Here is an 18,821-nt window from a genome sequence, read left to right as displayed (position 1 = left end):
AGACAACAGCCATGCAGAGCTTCCTAAAGCCAAATCTGACCCTGTCCTTCCTCTGCCTAGAGCTCTCCTTGGTTCCCAAAGCCTCCTGTGATCTGACCCCTGCCAGCTTCTGTAGTCTTACAAGTCCCCTTGAACTCATTCCAACCAGTTATGTTCCCTTGGGAAAAACAGGCCCCCTCTCTGACCTCAAGACCATTACCTCTGCCTTGCCCCAATCACTCATTCTTTAGGTCTCAGCTCACATGTCCTCTGCTCAGGGGAGCCCGCACTGCTTCCACGGCAGGCCAGGCGGCTCCTCTGGGTCCCCATAACCCGGGGTTTTCCCATCATAACCCCGATCACCTGAAGCCTGGCTCCCCACAGTCCAACCGCCCAGGCTTCACCGTCCTCTGCCAACTCAGGCCCAGCCACTCCAGTCTCTCTCCCTGAACCCCATGTAAGCTGGGATTATTCCAGTTGGTAATTTTGCATCCTACACTTGTCTCAATATGTGTGAAGAGCTATGTGGGGCATGGAAGTGTGGGAGAAAGTGACCTTGTCACAAGTCCACCCAGATAGACTGCCCCATCTACTTCCTTTCTACATCAAAGTCAAGGTGATCAATCACTTCCAGCTCCCAAGAGACCCATGGACCCTGTCTTTACTCCAAACAATGAGGAAGAGTGGCCTAGATGGCAGCTGCCGTCTGAAGGCAAATGCTCCCTCTGGAAACATCGAGATGGTCATAGTGAGCTTTCCTAGGCCTAAGCTTAAAAAAAATCAGGTGGAACTTCAACGGCCTGGTGGAGGAGGAGGGGCAATGGTGCTATCCTACTCCCTGGGGTACCCCACTGGGAACACCAAGGATGGGGAGCATCTTCCTGAGTGGGGAGGGTGTACATCAAAGTGGAGCTTAAACATGACATTCAAAACTTCTGACACATCCCCCTCAGAGAAAGGCGGGGAGCCGGCTTCAGTGGACCAAGGAAGGCTGAGGGTGGAGGGGGGCATCCAGGACAATGTCCAAGCTGGGGGCCCCACTGCTCTGCTTCTTGGCTGCAGCTGTCTCTCCACTCCACCCTGAGAAGGCTCAGGCTGGGATCTGATCTGAGGGCCATAGAACTGAGGAGCTCACAGTCACAACTCTCCCCCCAGCCCCATGCTGACCCCATGGCTTGAACGATGTTAAGAATCTGGCTGGACAAATTATTCTAGGGAGCAGTTTCAGAAAAGCTGGTTTTGCTGGTTGGGTAAAACCAAAGGCCAAGCAATTGGACTGTCCACTGTGTAACAAGGGGCCGCAAGTGGCTGCAAGTGGGAGGATGACCTGGTTAGACGGGTTTCAGATAGATCCCCTGGCTGCCATACAGAGGATGGATTGGAGGGGGACACTGGGGCCAGGAGCCTCAGAGGCAACCAGCCCGGGAAGGGCCCATGTGAGGAGGCCCAGGTTGGGGCTGTGAGGAGGAAGAGCCCCCCAAGGGCCTTCTCTTGGATTCTAGCTCCCCTCTATCATCTGTTCCCTGAGGGCCCTGGCCTCTGCCACTGCTCAAAGATCATCCAAACCTTCTGTCTACTCCTGGCAAACCAGGAGCCTGAGGAACAAGACATGGGACAAGTCAGTGACTGGCTAGCTTCCAGCTTGTCTACCTGGCTCCTGAGACAGAACCAGGGCCTCTGAGACCCAGGTGGACACGGTATTGGGAGACAGTTCCCAAGAGAGAGAAATGGAGGCAGCAACAACTTTCCAAATACTGTTTACTTCACTAAAACCTGGAGTGAGGCAGGGAAAAGGTACATCAATGTCTGAGACACCAAGCCTAGGAGTGCACATTGACAACGGCGACATACAGGGCCAAAGTGCTGAGGGCCAGCAGCCCCGTTACCACTGCTCGGGCCAGTAGAGCTGCCCAACTGCCCAGCGAGCAGAGGTGGACGAAGGTCCTGCAGGAAAATGTCACAATAAGGAAGGGAGACTAGATAACCCACCCCACTTTGGACCCAGCCCTAAACCCCACCCAACTCACTCCATAACAAAGGCCTTGTAGACACTGAGGAACATCAGCAGGAGGACAGCTGGCCGGAAGGTGTGGTACAGATCATAGCGTGTTATCATCCAGACCTGAGCAGACGCGACGATGTAATGGACCTAGAGGGAGGCAGAAAGTCGGGGCCAGGCCTTGGGGAGGAGTATGGCCGCCAGCAGAAATGTGTATGTGGGAGAGCACGACTGCCTACCAGACTGATGTTGGAGTCTATGCTCATCTGGATGTACTTCCAGTCAAACTCAATGCCCCGGGCTCCGACCCATAGGGGAATGCAGCTGAGGAAGGCAAAGGATGGGATTCTCCAGTACTCAGACACCTTCAGCACCAGGCTTTGAGCCCCTGCCCTCCAGCACCCCCGTGGAACCCAGGTGTCCCTTCTCAGGGGTCTGGGCTCCAGGCTGCTGTACGCACCGGGACATAATAAGCTCAGCAGTGGCCCAGCCCAGGGCAGCAACCATGATCTTGTACTCTCCCTTGCCGGCATTCCGGGACATGACAAGGTTTAGACCTATCAGGTCTGCCACATCCACGCTGGCCTTCATGAACTCCTGCGGGTCAGGTTGAGGCTTAAGTAAGCACAGGGGGACAGGGAGCCCCATTCCTGAACTCCCTTCCCTTCCCTGGCCCCTCTCACCCCAATGAAGTCATAGATGCCGCCTTCCCAGGTGGGAAAGAAAGTGGCCAAGAACAGCATCTGAGAACAGAAAGCAGAAAGAGGTCACTTCAAGGTGAGGGGATCAAGATAAACCACGTGGGATTTGTGGGAAGTTCGTGGGTAGGAAGAGGGCAGGACAGGTTCTGGGGGCCCATCTGGAAGAGGAACCACCAGATGGTGGCAAAATTACAGGAATCGGGGAGATAGAGGATAGGTCCCCGGGTCCCCGAGGGGGCTGGAAGTTTGAGTTCTGGGTGATCACAGGGCATCTGAGTCAGGTCTGAAGGTGCTGCTCCTTGGGCAGTGTTAGCAGCACGTACGGAATCAGTGATCACTCTTAACCGCACCAAAAAAAACCTGTTAGCCAACCACACTACTGAGGTTTTCTCAGTTTTACTAAGTGCTACGCAAAAGTTGCTTCTAGGTCTCTTCTCAGGTCGTGCCCTCTTTAAAGTCCATCCTCTCTAGGTATCCTGACGCCTCCCAGTGCGGAGTCCCGAGGGCGGTCCCACCGTGGGGCGGCGGGGGCGCGGATAGGCAACGGGGGCGGGTCCCTGGGTCTGCAGAGCCTGGGGGCCAGAACACGTGGCTTCCCGGTGGCCCTCACCTTGCAGAGTTGGACAAAGAGGTAGGTGACTCCAGCCTGGACGCATTTCCAGAAGGCGTTGTACTCGGACCTGGAGAAGCGGGAGGTGAGGGTCGGCCCGGGCCCCGCGCCCTCTCCGCCCCGCGCCCTTCCCGCACTCACAGGCCGCTGCACTTGTAGGTGATGAAGTAGGGGAAGTAGGCAAGAGCGAAGCAGTTCCCGAAGTGAAACAGGGTCATGATGCCGGCCGCCCGGTCCCGCCCGCGCGGGGATCGCGAGGCGGCGTCTCCGGGAGCGGGTCTCCGGCTCCGCCGGCTCTTTCGCCACGGCCAGGGCCTGGCACCCACCTGACTGGCGGGGGCCCGCGCGCGACCTTCTGGGAGCAGTAGTCCCGGCGCGGGGCGTCGCGCCCAGTGACGTCAGAGAGCCCGTGGCCGGCCCTGGGTCCCACCGCTGCCGGCCCAGCGCTTTGGGGAGTGACTTCCGGCCATGCGGGGCCTCTACCGCTGCCATCGCGGTCCCGGTCTCCTGAAGTGGAACCCGGCTTGGAGTCGAGCGCGACCCCTCGCCCGTGGGCGCAGGCGATCGAGTAAGGGTGGGGCGGGCCTCAAACCCGGATCAGAACCCGCCCTGACCGGCGCAGAGATACGGGACGCAGCCGTGAGCACTGTTTTTTATTTCACCATGGACCCATCGGCGTGGGGCGCCCGCCCCGGGTGTCCTTCCTCCCCCGGGCAGCCAGATGCTGGAACGGGAGGCACATGTTCCGGCCCCGGCCCCTGGGAAGGAAAGAAAGGACCTTCCCGTTTCACTTGTCTCGGCTGAACATGTAGCGGAGGAGGTCGACCACCCGGTGACTGTAGCCATATTCGTTGTCGTACCTGTGGAGGAGGGGTCGGGAGGTTCAAGGGGGTTCCTTCCGACCACCCCTTAGTTCCCCTCCCTCTAAGTCTCCAGCTCCTTCCCCCTTACCATGAAATGAGCTTCACGAAATTGTCATTGAGCGCAATGCCGGCCTTAGCATCGAAGATGGACGAGTGGGTATCACCGAGGAAGTCCGTAGAGACGACCTGGAAGTCAGAATTTCAAAGATAAGTGTGTCCGGCAGAGCAAGGACCTCCAGGAGCTGAGGCCCCGACTCTTAACTCTATCGCCCATCCATGCATTCATCTATAATATTTGATGTAGCCCTACTGTGTCCAGTCTCTGGACTGGAGGGTATGACCAAGTGCAGGGTATGACCAAGGCACTGTGTCAGGGTCTGGCCAAAGGGCACAGGTCACAAACACCCTCATGCTGTACCAGTACATCCCTTTCCTAGGAATAATGCAAGCGTTTGGAATGGGCCAGCATGGAGGGCCTCTCTGAGGGGTGGCCATGAGCCTGGGTCTAGATGACTAGAAAGATCTGACCGGCTGGGGCCCTCAGCACAGTGTCTGAGGTAGAAGGAGCTGCAGGAAGGGAGGACCTGAGGGTTTTAGCCCTAGTGTCATGAAAGGCCACAGGAGTGTTTTCAATCCTGAAAACGGGTGATGCAATGTGATTCCATTAAAACAAAAGATCCCAGTGACTGTGGGAAAGTGGACCTGCAGGAGTTAATGCAGGGAGACAGCACCAAGGTGGATGTACAGGGGTCCACCATGACCATGGCATCCACTCCTCACAGAGAAGGCATCTGGCCATGGCCTGGCCCTGAGCAAGTATTGAAAAAAATGGGAGCTGTTGTCTTTTGTTCACTAAGCATGTATTAGTCACCTGCTGTATGCCAGGTTGGAGCCACAAAAGTGAAAAGGCAGCCCCTAAATCCCTGTTTTCTTGGAGTGCACACACCACTGGGGCCAACAGTGACTATGAAATGAAATTTCAGGTGAGGAATATGGCCACAAAAAGAACATATTTTGAGGGGGTGCCTTGCTGAAGAGGGAGGTTCCTCCAGAGACTTGGAGGAAGTAAGGACAGACTGTATGGTCACCTGGCAAGGGAAGCATTCCAGACTAAAGGAACAGCAAGTGCAAAGGCCCTGAGGCAGGGAGATCTCCCTTCCTGCCCTGCAGTTTCTGACTTGGCACATTGAGAGCAGCTCCCTGGCAAGTGGAAATCATGTCCCTTCCCAGAGGGCTCCTCCCAGGGTCTCCTCTCCTCAGCCCCTACCTCATCCTCGGTGTAGGCAAGGATGCCAGCCATGGGCCCCTTGGCTGCTGCTTTTACAGCCTCCTTGATGGCTGAGTAGGGGGCAGGCTGGGCGAGGCGGCAGGTCAGGTCCACGACAGACACATCCGGGGTTGGTACCCGGAACGCCATCCCTGTCAGCTTCCTGGAGAATCCCCCATGAGGAACAGGAGTCAGAACTTAGGGACGTTGCCCTCCATTCCCCCTTTCCCTGTGGCTGGGCCAGGCCCCTGCTTTCCTCTTAAGGACTGAGGGCCGGGCCAGTCCAGTCCTCCTGGCGTATGCCCCCACCCTGGTTGCAGCTTCTTGTCCTCATACCCTTTGAGCTCTGGGATGACTTTGGTCACAGCTTTCGCAGCCCCAGTGGAGGCTGGGATGATGTTCTGGTGGGCACCCCGCCCATCTCGCCAGGCCTTCCTTGATGGCCCGTCCACTGTCTTCTGGGTGGCCGTGTAGGAATGGACTGTGGTCTTGGGGAAGAGAAGGACCAAGATGAGGCCTTCATGCTCCTAAGCTCCCATGCCTCTTTTTTCCAGGACTAAGTTGGTGGCCTAGGTGTGGAGGCTGGTGGGGCCACCACCACAGACCACAGGAGGGGATGTGTGCAGGCCAGGGTCCAGCCTTGCCTGAGGGTTGCACAGTGTTTTAAGTGACTTCTGCACTGGTGGGCCTCTCCTCCCGAAACCAGTCTCTCCCTCTTAACTCCATACAGTAAGCAAGGCCCGGGAAGAAGTTGGGTTTCCCTGCCATCCTTCCTGCCCCAGCCCCTCATCCTCAACTCACCATCAACCCTTCCACGATCCCAAATCGCTCGTGGATGACTTTGGCGAGGGGAGCCAAACAGTTGGTGGTGCAGGACGCGTTGCTGAAACAGCCAAGGTGTGCACGGACACTGTGAGGTGAGTCGCAGAGCCACCCCTCCACCCTTACCCCTCTTGGGGTATGCACGCAGACTTGGTTTTATGAAACGTCAGGATGAGGGTGAGAGGGATCTGTGGGGACACTGTCAGACTGAAGGAGGCACTGAGGTGCAGCTGGGGAGGCTCCCCAAGCTTGTCCTCTGGAAGTCATGCGTTTTTAGCAGATAGTTTCGGGAAGGAGAAGCAGAAGCCAAGCGACCAGGAATCCAGTGGGGCTGAGGGTGGGGAGGACGAGTCTACCCTCCCTTCCACACATTGCAGGATGTCACTGCCCACATTACCTCACAATGTTCATGGAGCCAGGGTTATAGTCATTTTCATTGACACCCATGACGAACATTGGTGCATCCGGTGAGGGCGCGGAGATGACCACACGTTGAGCACCTGCAGAGATGTGGTCCTGGGGAGGAAGCGCAGGTGTCAGGGGCTTCTGGCACCATCATCCCCCCAGCTAGCCCTGGGCACCTCTCCCCAGCTTACCGAAGCTGCCTGTATGGAGAGGTACACGCCTGTGGACTCCACCACGTAGGGGCTCCCGACAGCCCTCCAGGGGATCTGTTTGGGCTCTTTGCTGTGGGGAAGTGGCAGGGCTGAGTCAGTCTCCCCTGCTTGAGCCCCACCTTCATAGTCCATGGCTTTCACCATTTGACAGGCTGAGCAGGTACCGGCCCACCTGCAACCACCTGCGTCCCCTACCCCACACACCTACTTGTTCCAGATGGGCTCCACCCCGCTGGCCTAGCTTTTCACCACTGCCCCACTTCAGACCACTTTCCCTTTGCTGATTGCACCACCCCTGTTATGCCTGGGTACAGGTGGTGACCTCCCCAACTCAGCCCTCAACCTCCTCAGAGGCGCCAATGCTGACTGCTGTCAGCCAGCCCAGACCCTTTCTCCATATGCTGCCCGGGACGTGGACTCTGTGACTGTGAGGCCTGCCCGGCTGCTTTCTGCTTCCCAGCTCTGACAACCTCGCCATGAACCCTCCTAGACCCTCAGCTCCTGCAATAGGAAGCTGGCTGCCAAAGGCCAGGAGGGTCCCTGAAAACAGACACTGCATTAAAGAAAAAGCTCCTGGAGGACTCCTGAAGCCTGAGGCAGCCTTGGGGCAGCAGTGGCTCATGGTTTACATTGGAAAGGTAAGGGAGGTTTCTGGTTTCCTGTTTTATAAATTTATGTTTTTACTTGGTATTTTGACAAACATTTGTATTTGAAGCACACTAAACATCTAGTATTGCCGTTTTCTACTTGGCTTTAGCAAACAAGCATTAAGTGAATAAACTGTTCCACTTTCTTCCTTCCCAGGTTTATCATGAGTAACCGGGTGCTTTGCTTCTGTGATTCTTGGCCAGTGTCGGTCTGTTTCCTTTGCCATTGAGCCTGCTCCCCTCAATGGGGGGTTCAATCAATGTTTGTGGGGTTTGTTTGTTTTGAGACAGGGTCTTCCTCTGTCGCCCAGGCTGGAGTGCAGTGGTGCAATCAGAGCTCACTGCAGCCTTGATCTTCCTGGCTCCGGCCATCCTCCTGCCTTGGCCTCCCGAGTAGCTGGGACTACAGGCGCACACCACCATGCCAAGCTAATTTTTAAATTTTTTTGTAGAGATGGGGTCTCACTTTTGTTGCCCAGGGTGCTTTAGAACCCCTGGGCTCAAGTGATCCTTGACCTCCCACAGTGCTGGGATTACAGGTGTGAGCCACCGTGCCTGGCCTCATGGGTTTTCTTTGTTTTGTTTTGTTTTGTTTTTGAGACAGAGTCTCACTCTGTCACTCAGGCTGGAGTGCAGTGGCACGATTTTGGCTCACTGCAACCTCCACCTTCCGGGTTCAAGCGATTCTCCTGCCTCCGCCTCCCGAGTAGTTGGGGTTACAGGCATGCGCTACCACACCTGGCTAGTTTTTTATTGTTGTTGTTTTTTGTATTTTTAGTGGTGACGGGGTTTGCTCTGTTGGCCAGGCTGGTCTCAAACTCCTGACCTCAGGTGATCCCCACTTCAGCCTCCCAAAGTGCTGGGATGACAGGCATGAGCCTCTGCACCTGGCCTCGTGTTTTTTTTTTAGTTAGCCATTTTATACGTGTTTACTGAACACCTGTCCTGTGCCCATATTCTAAGTGCCTTACCTGCATTAAACTCATGTAACCTTCACAACCCGATGAGGAAGTGCTACCGCTGTCATTTTTTGCATTTTTTTACTGCTGTCAGGGCAGAGGGGAGGGGAGTGAGAGGGAGAGCCTGCTGGAGTGCAGGTGGCTGGTCCCACCTCGGGTCTGCACTCCTGTTTCCACTGCCTGAATGAATGAATGAATGGGCTGCCCTGCAAAGCCATCACACATGCATGGTTATCCTCTTCCTGTCTCCTGCTCTGTCAGTCCACTTTCCATCATCTGGCCCAACGAGCTCTTCTCAGATACCCCCCATTTCCTGCCTTCCAAATTAGGGACACTTGCGATTCCTCTGCAACAATTGCTGAGTTGGCCTGAGGCAAAGACTGTGCCCCCAGAAGACCCCAGGCCCTCCCCAAGGCTGTCATGGGCCCCAGCCTCCTGCCCACCAGGCTGTTTTGAGGATTCCATTCATTCATTCAAAGGAAGTTCTGAATGGCTATCAGGGCCTGTACCTGCTAATGCCAGAGCAACAGTGGTGGTACCAGTTGACAGAGCCCTCCGTGCAAGGCCATGGCCTTGTGGGAAGTGCCCGTTTAAGTGTCCACAAACACATGTTCACTCCATTCGTGCTCCCAGCTACCGCTGTGGTGGGTTTGCTCATCATCCCCATCAGATACAGCGGGGAACTGAGGCTCAGGCAAGTTTGGTTCCTTGCCCAAGGTCACCCAGCTAGCTAGCGGAGGTGCAGGGCAGAGTGCAGGCACACAGCCTGGCTTGTGCAGCCCAACAGTGCGGGGATGGAGAGGGGGCTGGAGGGGCGGGGAACTGCATTGCACAAGTGACCAGAGAAGGCAAGACCTGAGTCGGGACCGTGGACGGAGGGGGCAGCTAGGTGGGGAAGAGGGATGACTCCAAGTGGCGGTAATGGTGGTGGCCACGTTGAAGTCTGCGTGATAACTATGGTGCTGGAGTTGTTTCTAGTGTCATGATTTCAAACTTGGGTTAAGCAGCTTTCTTCAATTTTCACTGACTCTCCAGTCTCTGCCCCCTGCCCACAAACTTCCTGCACCCATCCCTGCCCCTTTATCACTCACCCTACCCCCAGTAAGTACAAGGAGAAGGGCTGAGATTAGATCTGTGGGGAGGGGCGCTGGGGAGGCTGCAGACCCTGCCTGGGCCCAGACAGGGTTCACTAGTGTGCCTGTGTGTATTTGCATGTGTGTGGGCCTGTGGGTGTGTATGTGTAAAAGCCCCAGGCAGCCACAGAGCCAGGAGTCGCTAATAGTTTACATTAGAAAGGTGAATGTCAGCCAAAAATAAAATTCTAAACTCCCCCAACTAACTGAATGTAGCCCTTCTCTCGGCCCAGGGCATTCTAAAGTAAAACTGAAACACTGGTTCAGGCCATGATGGGAACGGATGTTCGGATGTTCGCACAAGCCTCATTATACCTTCCTCCCTTTGGAATTCAGGCATAGTTGACCAGCAGTGGTCAATGGGAGCTGAATAGGTGTGGGTTGAAGGGGAATCAAGAGTTGAGTTCTGGACATGTTGATATGCCCACGAGAAAACATGCAAATGTGCGTTAAAGCAAAATGCAGTGGCTCCTGCCTGTAATCCCAGCACTCTGGGAGGCCAAGGTGGGAGGATTGCTTGGGGCCAGGAGTTTGAGACCAGCCTGGGCCAGATGGCAAGACCTCATCTCTACAAAAAATTTGCCAGGTGTGGTGGCTGGTGCCCACTACTTGGGAGGCCGAGGTGGGAGGACCACTTGAGCCCGGGAGGTCAAGGATGCGGTGAGCTATGATTACACCACTGCACTCCAGACTGGGCAAAAGAGTGATACCCCGTCCCTAAAAAAAATATAAAGAAAAAGCATTCTTCAGTACAGTGAGGCATCTTTTTAGATTAGTGCTTCTTAATCATTTTAGGGGTGAAGGACCTGAGACTTCCCTCTTCAAATTAGTACCTAGAGGCATGCACACGCAATTTTGGGGGTGGTTTCAGCACCCCATGTGAGAGGCTGGAATCCCATTTTAGCCACCTCCACATGCCCTGCCTCAATATGTCACAGCCGTGCATCAGACAGATGCTTTCCTTACCACTGGTAGACAGAGATCTCATGGTTGTCCACGACCAGTTGTCCATTCCTGAATTCCACACTTCCCTTGTATCGGCCGTGGGTGGAGTCATACTTAAACATGTACACCTGTGGGGGATGGAATGGCTCCTAGTCTTGGGGTGGCAGGGTGAGGATCCCTAGAGAGTCCCCTCTTTGGTGAAGGTCTCACATTACAGCTGAGAGCCTTCCATACAGCTTCCCTGAGTCCCTTTCCCACCCCAGTCCCACCCTGCTGTTCCTGCCCTCTGCCAGCTACTGACCATGTATTCCGGGTCAATGAATGGATCATTCACAGCCACCACCTTAACACCCTTCTCCATGCAGGCGCGCAGGACCAGGCGACCGATGCGTCCAAATCTGGCCAGGGACAGACAGGAAGGGATGGGAGAGAAGGGGGTAATGGAGAGGAGGCTCCCTCAAGGAGCCTGGTTGGGAATCCTTAATCCAGGGGAAGAAGGCAACAACCTCTGTGCTGGCCATGGGCATCTCTTGCCAAGATGACCTCACCAGCCCCTTTAACTGCTTTTTCAGCTCCCTCTCCCAATCCGTTCCCTAACCCATATATACATATATATATATATATATTTTGAGATGGAATCCAGCTCTTTCGCCCAGGCTGGAGTGCAGTGGCGCTATCTGGGCTCATTGCAACCTCTGCCTCCTGGGTTCAAGTGATTCTCCTGCCTCAGCCTCCCAAGTAGCTGGGACTACAGGCGCGTACCACCACACCTGGCTAATTTTTGTATTTTTAATAGAGACGGGGTTTTGCCATGTTGGCCAGGCTGGTCTCGAACTCCTGACCTCAAGTTGATAGACCCGCCTTGGCCTCCCAAAGTGCTGGGATTACAGGCGTGAGCCACTGCGCCTGGCTCCTAACCCCTATTCTTAACCTTGTAGCTGGATGGATCTTTTATTTTTTCATTAAACAATTAAAACAATTTTTTTCTGTAGAGACAGAGTCTCGCTATGTTGCCCACGCTGGTCTCAAACTCCTGGTCTCAAAGGATTCTCCTACCTTGGCCTCCCAAAGTGCTGGGTTTACAGGTGTGAGAGCCTGGATGGATCTTAAAACTTCAAGACAGATTACGTCTCTTGGCATGAAAACATCCACGACTGTCCATCAGTAAAACAAGATCCACACTCCTTACTGTGGTGTAGCAGCCCCCTCCGGGCTTCTCACTGGCCTCCCTCCTTTTCCCTTTGCTTGGTGGACACCAGCCACTCTGACTTCCTGGCTGTCCCTGAACATACTGAGCTCGCCTCTGCCCCAGAATCATTGCTTGTCCCGCTGCCTGGAAGACTCCTTCCCCAGCAAGGTGCCCTGGGAGCTGGCTGTGTCTCATCACTCTGGTCCCGCTCCAATGACACCTTCTCCCCAAGGCCTTCCCTGATCACTGGCAAAGGCTGCCCTCTCCAGCCTGACTTTTCCACTGGATTCTACACTGTTCCCAGCACACTCTACTGAACAATCTAATTTCTTTATTTGATTACTGTCTTCCCCACCAGCATGCTGCTGAGCATGGGGCCCTGTCTGCCTTGCTCCGGGCTATTTCTCCAGGGTCGTCGGAACGAAAGCATTGATGGGGGGAAATGTGGAGGTGCCCCCAGTTAGCAGCCAGAGGAGGGGCTGGGCTCTAAGGCTTCAGACTGATCAGGGGCTGGAGTAGACTCACCCATTGATGCCCACAGTCAGCTCCCGGGCCACAGACACCATCTTAGGAGGAGGAGTAGCGGGGTGAGGAGGCAGTGGTGGCGGTGGTGGCTTTATTTCCTCCCTGACTGGTGTGGGCTCTGGTTGTGGCTGGGGCTCTACTTCAGCCTTAGGCTCAGGTGGGGGCGGTGCTCTGGTCACTATGCGGGGGAAGGGAGGGAATGGGTTGCATGACCACCAAAGTGAAAGAGAACAAACTGTCTTTGCTGCCCAGAATCTGTTGCTGGCTCCTGGCCCCTCGTGACCAACCATTTAGCCCAGTGTTTCCCAAACCCACTTTCTCTACAGAATGAACTTGTTTAAAATGTCAATCCCAAGGGCTCTTTCCTGGAGATTCTAATTCACTGGTTATGTACTTCCGTTGTTTTTTTTTTCCCGAGACAGAGTATTGCTCTGTCACCCAGGCTGGAGTGCAGTGGACTGATCTTGGCTTACTGCAACCTCCGCCTCCTGGGTTCAAGTGATTCTCCTGCCTCAGCCTCCCGAGTAGCTGGGATTATAAGCACCCGCCAAGGTGCCTGGCTAATTTTTGTATTTTTAGTAGATACAGGGTTTCACTTGGCCAGGCTGGTCTCGAACTCCTGACCTTAGGTGATCCACCCGCCTCAGCCTCCCAAAGTGCTGGGATTACAGGTGTGAGCCACTGCGCCTGGCCGGGGTATGTACTTTCAACATAGATCGCTTGGGGTGACATTCTCTGTGCCTCAGTTTCCTCCTCTGTAAGGGGAGATAATAGTACTTTTCTTAGAGGGTTGTTGTGAGGATTAAATGAGGTAATACATGGATTGCTTATGACCAAGCCGAGGAAATGTTTGACATGCATTAGTATTTTGTAGATTGTTCCCCGAATTTGTCCAATAATTGATTTAGCCCAGTGGTCCCCAAACTGTTCCATGATAGGAGTCGTCGGAGTGGCCAGGCGTGGTGGCTCACACCTGTAATCCTGGCACTTTGGGAGGCCAAGGTGGGTGGATCACTTGAGGTCAGGAGTTCAAGACCAGCTTGGCCAACATGGAGAAACCTGTTCTCTACTAAAAATACTGTAATCCCAGCTCCTCGGGGGGCTGAGGCAAGAGAATCTCTTGAACCTGGGAGGCGGAGGGTGCAGTGAGCCGAGATTGCGCCACTGCACTCCAGCCTGGGCGACAGAGTGAGACTCTGTCTCAAAAAAAAAAAAAAATCACCTGAGGAGGGCTCTTCCTAGAAAAATCGGACTCAGTGGGTCTGTATGGAGGCCCAGAAATCCTGTTTTTAATCAGCACTCCAGGCCGGGAGCGGTGGCTCACGCCTGTAATCCCAGCACTTTGGGAGGCCGAGGCAGGCAGATCACCTGAGGTTGGGAGTTTGAGACCAGTCTGACCAACATGCAGAAACCCCGTCTCTACTAAAAATACAAAAAAATTAGCCAGGCGTGGTGGCACATGCTTGTAATCCCAGCTACTCAGGAGGCTGAAGCAGGAGAATCGCTTGAACCCAGGAGGCGGAGGTTGTGGTGGGCGAGATCGTGCCACTGCACTCCAGCCTGGGCAACAAGAGCGAAACTCCATCTCCCAAAAAAAAATAAAAAATAAAATAAGCACTCCAGGCATTTCTTATCCTCAGGGAAGCTTAGAGAGTACCGTGTATCATACTCTGTGAAACCCATGGAAGCTCACATTGGCTCCCACCTCTCCACACACACTCCTGCTCCCAGACTGCACTTAAAAACACCTGCGCCTGGAGGTAGCAGCCGCCTGAGCTACAGAGGAGGGCTTGAGAAGAGGGGAGAAGTGGAGACTCAGGGGACCTGGTGGCAGAGAGTTTCAAGCTGGAAAGTCAAGCCTGGCTCAGTCCACACAGACCTGCTGCTCTGTGGATTTGAGCAAGTTAATGAACCTCTTGGGGCTGATCCCCCACCTAGGGGCTGCTGTGAGGGCGCAGTGAGATCTCGAGGCCCACACATAGGAGCTGATTTTAATAGAGGAGGGAAGTCTGATCCTACACAGATTCCTGAGGAAAGGGAGACAGCAGGGGGTGGAGAAGGGCTGGAAGGGGGTAGTGGGAGTCCAAGTTTTTGGCACCAAATCAAAGGCACCTGGGGGGTGGTGGGGCTGGGAGCCGGGGGCCAGCTGGCCTGTCTGTCTCCCTGACCTCTCCCTGTTGCCACAGACCTTGTGGCCTGAGGCTGGACTATAGGTGTTTCCAGTGGCTGTCCAAGTTCATGAAGGTGTTAGTGTTTATTGGTGAACTTGAGGATGTTTGCATCCTTGGGGGTTGTTTCTGCTATGGGAGAAAGGGGATTTGTCCACCTGGTTCAGGTGGGAATCTGAGCCCAATGGGTGACCCTTCCGAAGAAAACTCAGATGGTCCTCCTCTCCCAGCACTCCCAGCCTTGCACTCTCTTCCCCTCCACTGTAGGGGTGGGGTCCCCCGGTTGGAGAAAAGCCTGGGGGCTAGCTGGGTGCTGCCCCCAGCTCCTCACTGCGTCCTCCCACTGAATCCCGAGAGGCATGCGCTATAAACCCACTTTACAGAGGGGAAAATGAAGCCTGAGGCCACGGAGCAGTGATGCGCAGGGCAGGGGTTCAAGTCTCATGAGGCTGGTAAGCCTGTCTGCTCCTGTGTCTTCCAGGGTCTCCTGGACCAAAGCCCCAGCCCCACCTACCCCTGCGGCCCCCGCCCTTGGGAAGTGAGGGAACAGTGTGGGAATGGAGGCAGCCCACCGGAAGACCTGGTTCCTCCGGCTAGAGTGAGTGAGTGAGTGTGTGTGTGTGTGTGTGCGCGCGCGCGGGCGCGCCGCCCTTGTTGAGAGACTAAGGAAGTAGTTTGCCCTCTCTTAACCTCTGTTGGCCGCTCTGTAAACTGCGGGCACACTCTGGCCTTCTCAGGTGGTGGTGAGGCTTCCCTGAGCTCTCGCCTGCGAAGTGGTCAGCACGTCCCCGGCAAGGTTCCAAGTGTCCTTGTTTTGTGCATCACAGGGAGGGCAAAGCTCACCTCACGCGAAGCGCCATGAACATCACTTTTACATGGAAGCCCAGCACCCCTGGGTTCTCCCTAAGCCCCTCCTAAGCCCGCCCACTTCCCGCCACTTTCAGGCTGCAGCCTCCGATGGCCCTCGTTTCTGCTCTTTCTACCGCGTGATAGCGGCGCGAAGCCCACCCAGCCCTGGGGGCGGAGGCCCGGTCTCCCCGCCATGGCAGTAAACCCCACTCTGCCAGCACACTGGCGGGTGTGGAGGGAGGGAGAGCGGCTGATCCCCTGGTCCCTAGATGGTGCACACGCCAGGAAGGGCGGTAGGGATACGGCACAGGTGTGAGGGTGCAGACGCTCCCCACTACCCTTTCCACCCCTCCCCCGCGCCCTCCGCTGCCTCCCTCACCCGGGCACGGCTGTCGCAGCAACTGGACAACGGTGACATTGGTGAGGACGATGTCGCGCTTCGACATGGCCTCTTATAAGGTTATCATTGGCCTGGACCTGCTGTGATGTTACCGAGGTGCGTGCGGAGCGCCAGGGCTGTGGGTCCTGGGCTAATTGCCCTGATGTCACAGCACCCAGTGACGTCACAGTACCCAGTGACGTCGCCGAGGGGCGGCGCCCAAGCCAGAGGCCTGACACCATCGCATCCCATCCCCGTAGAGGCATGGGACGTCAGCACGCTATGCATCACCGTTCCACGGCCACGCACTGCCGTCTGGAATGGAATCCCACTTTTTAAAATTATCATTTGTTTATTTATTTTGAGACGGGGTGTCACTCTTTCTCCTAGGCTGGAGTGCAGTGGTGCAATCATGGCTCACTGCAGCCTTGAACTCCTGGGCTCAAGCGATCCTCCCGCCTCGGCCTCCTGAGTAGCTGGGACTACATGTGCAGCCACCACTGCAGGCTATTTTTACTTTTTATTTTTTTGTAGAGAGAGGGTCTCACTCTTTTGCTCAGGCTGGTCTAGAACCCTTGGGCTCAAGCGATCCTCCCACCTCGGCCTTCCAAAATGCTGGGATTACAGGAGCGAGCCACCACACCCAGCCTGGAATCCCACCTTTTACACTGTTCCTGAAAGCCCTTTCCTCTTCTCTGTCTCTTGAAGCACACAGGTTCCATGCTGTCCCTTGGATTCTCCAGTGGAGTGACTCTTGCTGCCTCCGTATGCCTGGAAGGCCCACCCAGGGCTTCCCTTGGCTGCCTCTTGGTTTCCCACCCTTTAAGAGAGGCTTTCTACACTCTGCATCTAAGTTCCCTCCTTTCTCTGTCACTGTCAGCCGTCACCCCCTTCCCAATTTCTGCCCATCTTCCAGGAAGCCTTGTCTGACTTCTCCATTCTGAGTTATGCTTCAGTGTGCAAAATTTCTCTAGGGCTACACTGTCTATGTTTTTATTTTCCTTAGAGCACATGTCTCTCTAAAAATTGTTTGTTTTCTTGCCAACTGTCTCTGTCCACCAGACTGTAAGCTCTGAGAGGACAGGGACGTCATCTATGTCACTTCTGTATCCCATTGACAAGAAAAGTGTTTGGCACCTGAAAGGTGTTTGTGGGCTGGACGCAGTGGCTCATGCCTGTAATCCCAACACTTTGGGAGGCTGAGGTGGGAGGATCATTTGAGTCCAGGAGTTTGAGACCAACATGGGCAATGTGGCAAAACCCTGTATCTACAAAAAATAAAAAAAGTAGCCAGGTGTGGTGGTGCATGCCTGTTGTCCCAATTATTAGGGAGGCTGAGGTGGGAGGATCACTTGAGCCTAGGAGGTCAAGGCTGCAGTGAGCTGTGATTGTGTCACTGCACTCCAGCTGGGAGACAGAGCAAGACCCTGTCTGAAAAAGGCGTTAGCCCAATAAACTATACCTGAATGAATAAATGTCAATTCCTCAGGTTTCATCTGATCGCTAATCTTTTCTTTTCTTTTCTTTTTTTTGAGACAGAGTTTCGCTCTTGTTGCCTAGGCTGGAGTGCAATGGTGCGATCTCAGCTCACCGCAACCTCCGCCTCCTGGGTTCAAGTGATTCTCCCGCCTCAGCCTCCTGAGTAGCTGGGACTACAGGCGTGCGCCACTACACCTAGCTAATTTTTTTTTTGTTTTTGTATTTTTAGTAGAGACGGGGTTTCACCATGTTGGCCAGGCTGATCTCAAACTCCTGACCTCAGGTGATCCATCTGCCTCGGCCTCCCAAAGTGGTGGGATTACAGGCGTGAACCACCTCGCCCGGCCCTGATCGCCAATCTTATCAAACTCTTCACGTTATATCTTCTCGCAGCACCCATTCTTTTCCTTGTAGCTTTTCATGTAGTTTGTCATGATCTACTGATTGGTTTATTTGTTCGATGTCTCCCCCTTGGGCTCTAAGCCCCTCACAGGGCTCCTGTTCTTGTTTGTTTGTTCACGACTGTGCCTCCAGCACTTAGAACAATACAAAGCAGGTTTTCAATGAACGTCTGACAAAGAACAAGTGGACAAACAGCTCCCTCCCCTGCAGCCCCGGGGTAGGGGTTTGCTTGCACCTCAGTGACTCACAGGCAGGCACCATCACCTGCACAGCAGGTTGACACGCAGCTGTGACCAAGGTTCAGGGGGAGTGGGGGTTTGTGCCAGGAAGGAGTCACCATCCCAGAGAGGGATGGATGCAAGAAGGGGCAGAATGACATAACCTCTTCCTTCCGCCAACATCCATGAGAAATTCATTTGCCAAGCACCTGCCATGGGACCAGGGCAGGGTGAGGCTCTCCTGCTTTGATGGCCTGGGAGAAGAAAGTAAACTAAGTGTACAGGTGAGGAGGTTTTAACGAACCGAGACCAAAACACAGATGATTAATTAAACAAAGGGAGCTACATTTTGGTGTACAATCAAGGAGGTGAAAAATATAACCTCAACAAAACCAGGATTCAAAAGGGGCTGATTTTGGCTGGGTGCAGTGGCTCACACATGTAATCCCAGCACTTTGGGAGGCCGAGGCAGGTAGACCACCTGAGGTCAGGAGTTTGAGACCAGCCTGGCCAACATGGTGAAACTCCATCTCTACTAAAAATACAAAAATTAGCCAGGTGTAGTGGCATGCATCTGTAATCCTAGCTACTCGGGAGGCTGAGGCAGGCGAATCACTTGAACCTGGGAGGCGGAGGTTGCAGTGAGCCGAGATTGCCACTGCACTCCAACCTGGGCAACAGAGTGATACTTCATAAAAAAAATAAATAAAATAAAGAAAGGACAACTCCAGGCCATTCTCAGTTATGGAGCCAGATGCTGAAGTCCTGAATCGAATCGTGCCACATGGGAATAGAGAGACAGAGGAGAGGGACTGAGGCTGGCAGAAGATGAAAGGATGGGGTGGAGAGGGATAGAGAAGATGGAACACAGTTCAGGCCAGGCACAGTGGCTCACGCCTGTAATCCCTGCCCTTGGGGAGGCCGAGGTGGGCGGATCACCTGAGGTCAGGGGTTCGAGACCAGCCTGGCCAACATGGTGAAACCCCGTCTCTACTGAAAGTACAAAAATTAGCTGGGCATCATGGCAGGTGCCCGGCTAATCCCAGCTACTCGGGAGGCTGAGGCAGAAG

At 54.6% G+C, this 18,821-nt stretch overlaps 2 protein-coding genes and 1 long non-coding RNA gene across 5 annotated transcripts, besides 6 other annotated features; 1 reads left to right on the top strand and 2 right to left on the bottom strand.

The window, feature by feature from the left end:
- Nucleotides 1–1,720: 1,720 nt before the first annotated feature.
- TMEM147 (transmembrane protein 147) lies at nucleotides 1,721–3,621 on the bottom strand. Of its 3 annotated transcripts, NM_032635.4 has the most exons (7): nucleotides 3,431–3,621; nucleotides 3,290–3,359; nucleotides 2,662–2,721; nucleotides 2,439–2,575; nucleotides 2,218–2,302; nucleotides 2,007–2,128; nucleotides 1,721–1,923 (listed from the first exon to the last, which is right to left on the bottom strand). In NM_032635.4, exons 1-7 carry the CDS (start codon nucleotides 3,505–3,507, stop codon nucleotides 1,800–1,802), a joined length of 675 nt encoding a protein of 224 aa, NP_116024.1. In that variant the 5' UTR covers nucleotides 3,508–3,621; the 3' UTR covers nucleotides 1,721–1,799. The 3 variants fall into 3 exon arrangements, with proteins under 3 accessions (NP_116024.1, NP_001229526.1, NP_001229527.1); NM_001242597.2 differs by having other exon boundaries at nucleotides 3,290–3,621; NM_001242598.2 differs by lacking the exons at nucleotides 2,218–2,302; nucleotides 2,439–2,575.
- Nucleotides 3,040–3,619: a silencer, noted in NCBI's record as "silent region_10528". NCBI's record gives its function as "represses an Ori minimal core promoter by ATAC-STARR-seq in GM12878 lymphoblastoid cells {active_cell/tissue: GM12878}" and the evidence as "EXISTENCE:reporter gene assay evidence [ECO:0000049][PMID:35858748]".
- Nucleotides 3,040–4,004: a biological region, named in NCBI's record as "H3K27ac hESC enhancer GRCh37_chr19:36036145-36036837".
- Nucleotides 3,218–8,509, top strand: TMEM147-AS1 (TMEM147 antisense RNA 1). The gene is made up of 4 exons (NR_038396.1): nucleotides 3,218–3,310; nucleotides 5,974–6,336; nucleotides 7,173–7,496; nucleotides 7,663–8,509. It is a non-coding gene; the product is annotated as a TMEM147 antisense RNA 1 (long non-coding RNA).
- Nucleotides 3,312–4,004: an enhancer, noted in NCBI's record as "H3K27ac hESC enhancer chr19:36036145-36036837 (GRCh37/hg19 assembly coordinates)". NCBI's record gives its function as "activates a minimal SCP1, AML or CMV promoter by ChIP-STARR-seq in primed H9 embryonic stem cells {active_cell/tissue: H9 hESC(primed)}" and the evidence as "EXISTENCE:reporter gene assay evidence [ECO:0000049][PMID:30033119]".
- Nucleotides 3,928–15,791, bottom strand: GAPDHS (glyceraldehyde-3-phosphate dehydrogenase, spermatogenic). The gene is made up of 11 exons (NM_014364.5): nucleotides 15,653–15,791; nucleotides 12,257–12,434; nucleotides 10,844–10,940; nucleotides 10,564–10,670; nucleotides 6,838–6,928; nucleotides 6,639–6,757; nucleotides 6,221–6,302; nucleotides 5,756–5,907; nucleotides 5,420–5,582; nucleotides 4,241–4,338; nucleotides 3,928–4,149 (listed from the first exon to the last, which is right to left on the bottom strand). The coding sequence occupies exons 1-11, from the start codon at nucleotides 15,717–15,719 to the stop codon at nucleotides 4,077–4,079; spliced, it is 1,227 nt and encodes a 408-aa protein (NP_055179.1). The 5' UTR covers nucleotides 15,720–15,791; the 3' UTR covers nucleotides 3,928–4,076.
- Nucleotides 5,719–6,220: an enhancer, noted in NCBI's record as "H3K4me1 hESC enhancer chr19:36033929-36034430 (GRCh37/hg19 assembly coordinates)". NCBI's record gives its function as "activates a minimal SCP1, AML or CMV promoter by ChIP-STARR-seq in primed H9 embryonic stem cells {active_cell/tissue: H9 hESC(primed)}" and the evidence as "EXISTENCE:reporter gene assay evidence [ECO:0000049][PMID:30033119]".
- Nucleotides 8,615–9,114: an enhancer, noted in NCBI's record as "H3K4me1 hESC enhancer chr19:36031035-36031534 (GRCh37/hg19 assembly coordinates)". NCBI's record gives its function as "activates a minimal SCP1, AML or CMV promoter by ChIP-STARR-seq in naive H9 embryonic stem cells {active_cell/tissue: H9 hESC(naive)}" and the evidence as "EXISTENCE:reporter gene assay evidence [ECO:0000049][PMID:30033119]".
- Nucleotides 14,805–14,934: an enhancer, noted in NCBI's record as "active region_14483". NCBI's record gives its function as "activates an Ori minimal core promoter by ATAC-STARR-seq in GM12878 lymphoblastoid cells {active_cell/tissue: GM12878}" and the evidence as "EXISTENCE:reporter gene assay evidence [ECO:0000049][PMID:35858748]".

Source organism: Homo sapiens, chromosome 19 (genome assembly GCF_000001405.40).
Source record: "Homo sapiens chromosome 19, GRCh38.p14 Primary Assembly".
NCBI lineage: Eukaryota > Metazoa > Chordata > Mammalia > Primates > Hominidae > Homo > Homo sapiens.
The sequence above is the reverse complement of the archived record's forward strand: the minus strand, read 5'-3'. Positions and strand labels throughout refer to the sequence as shown.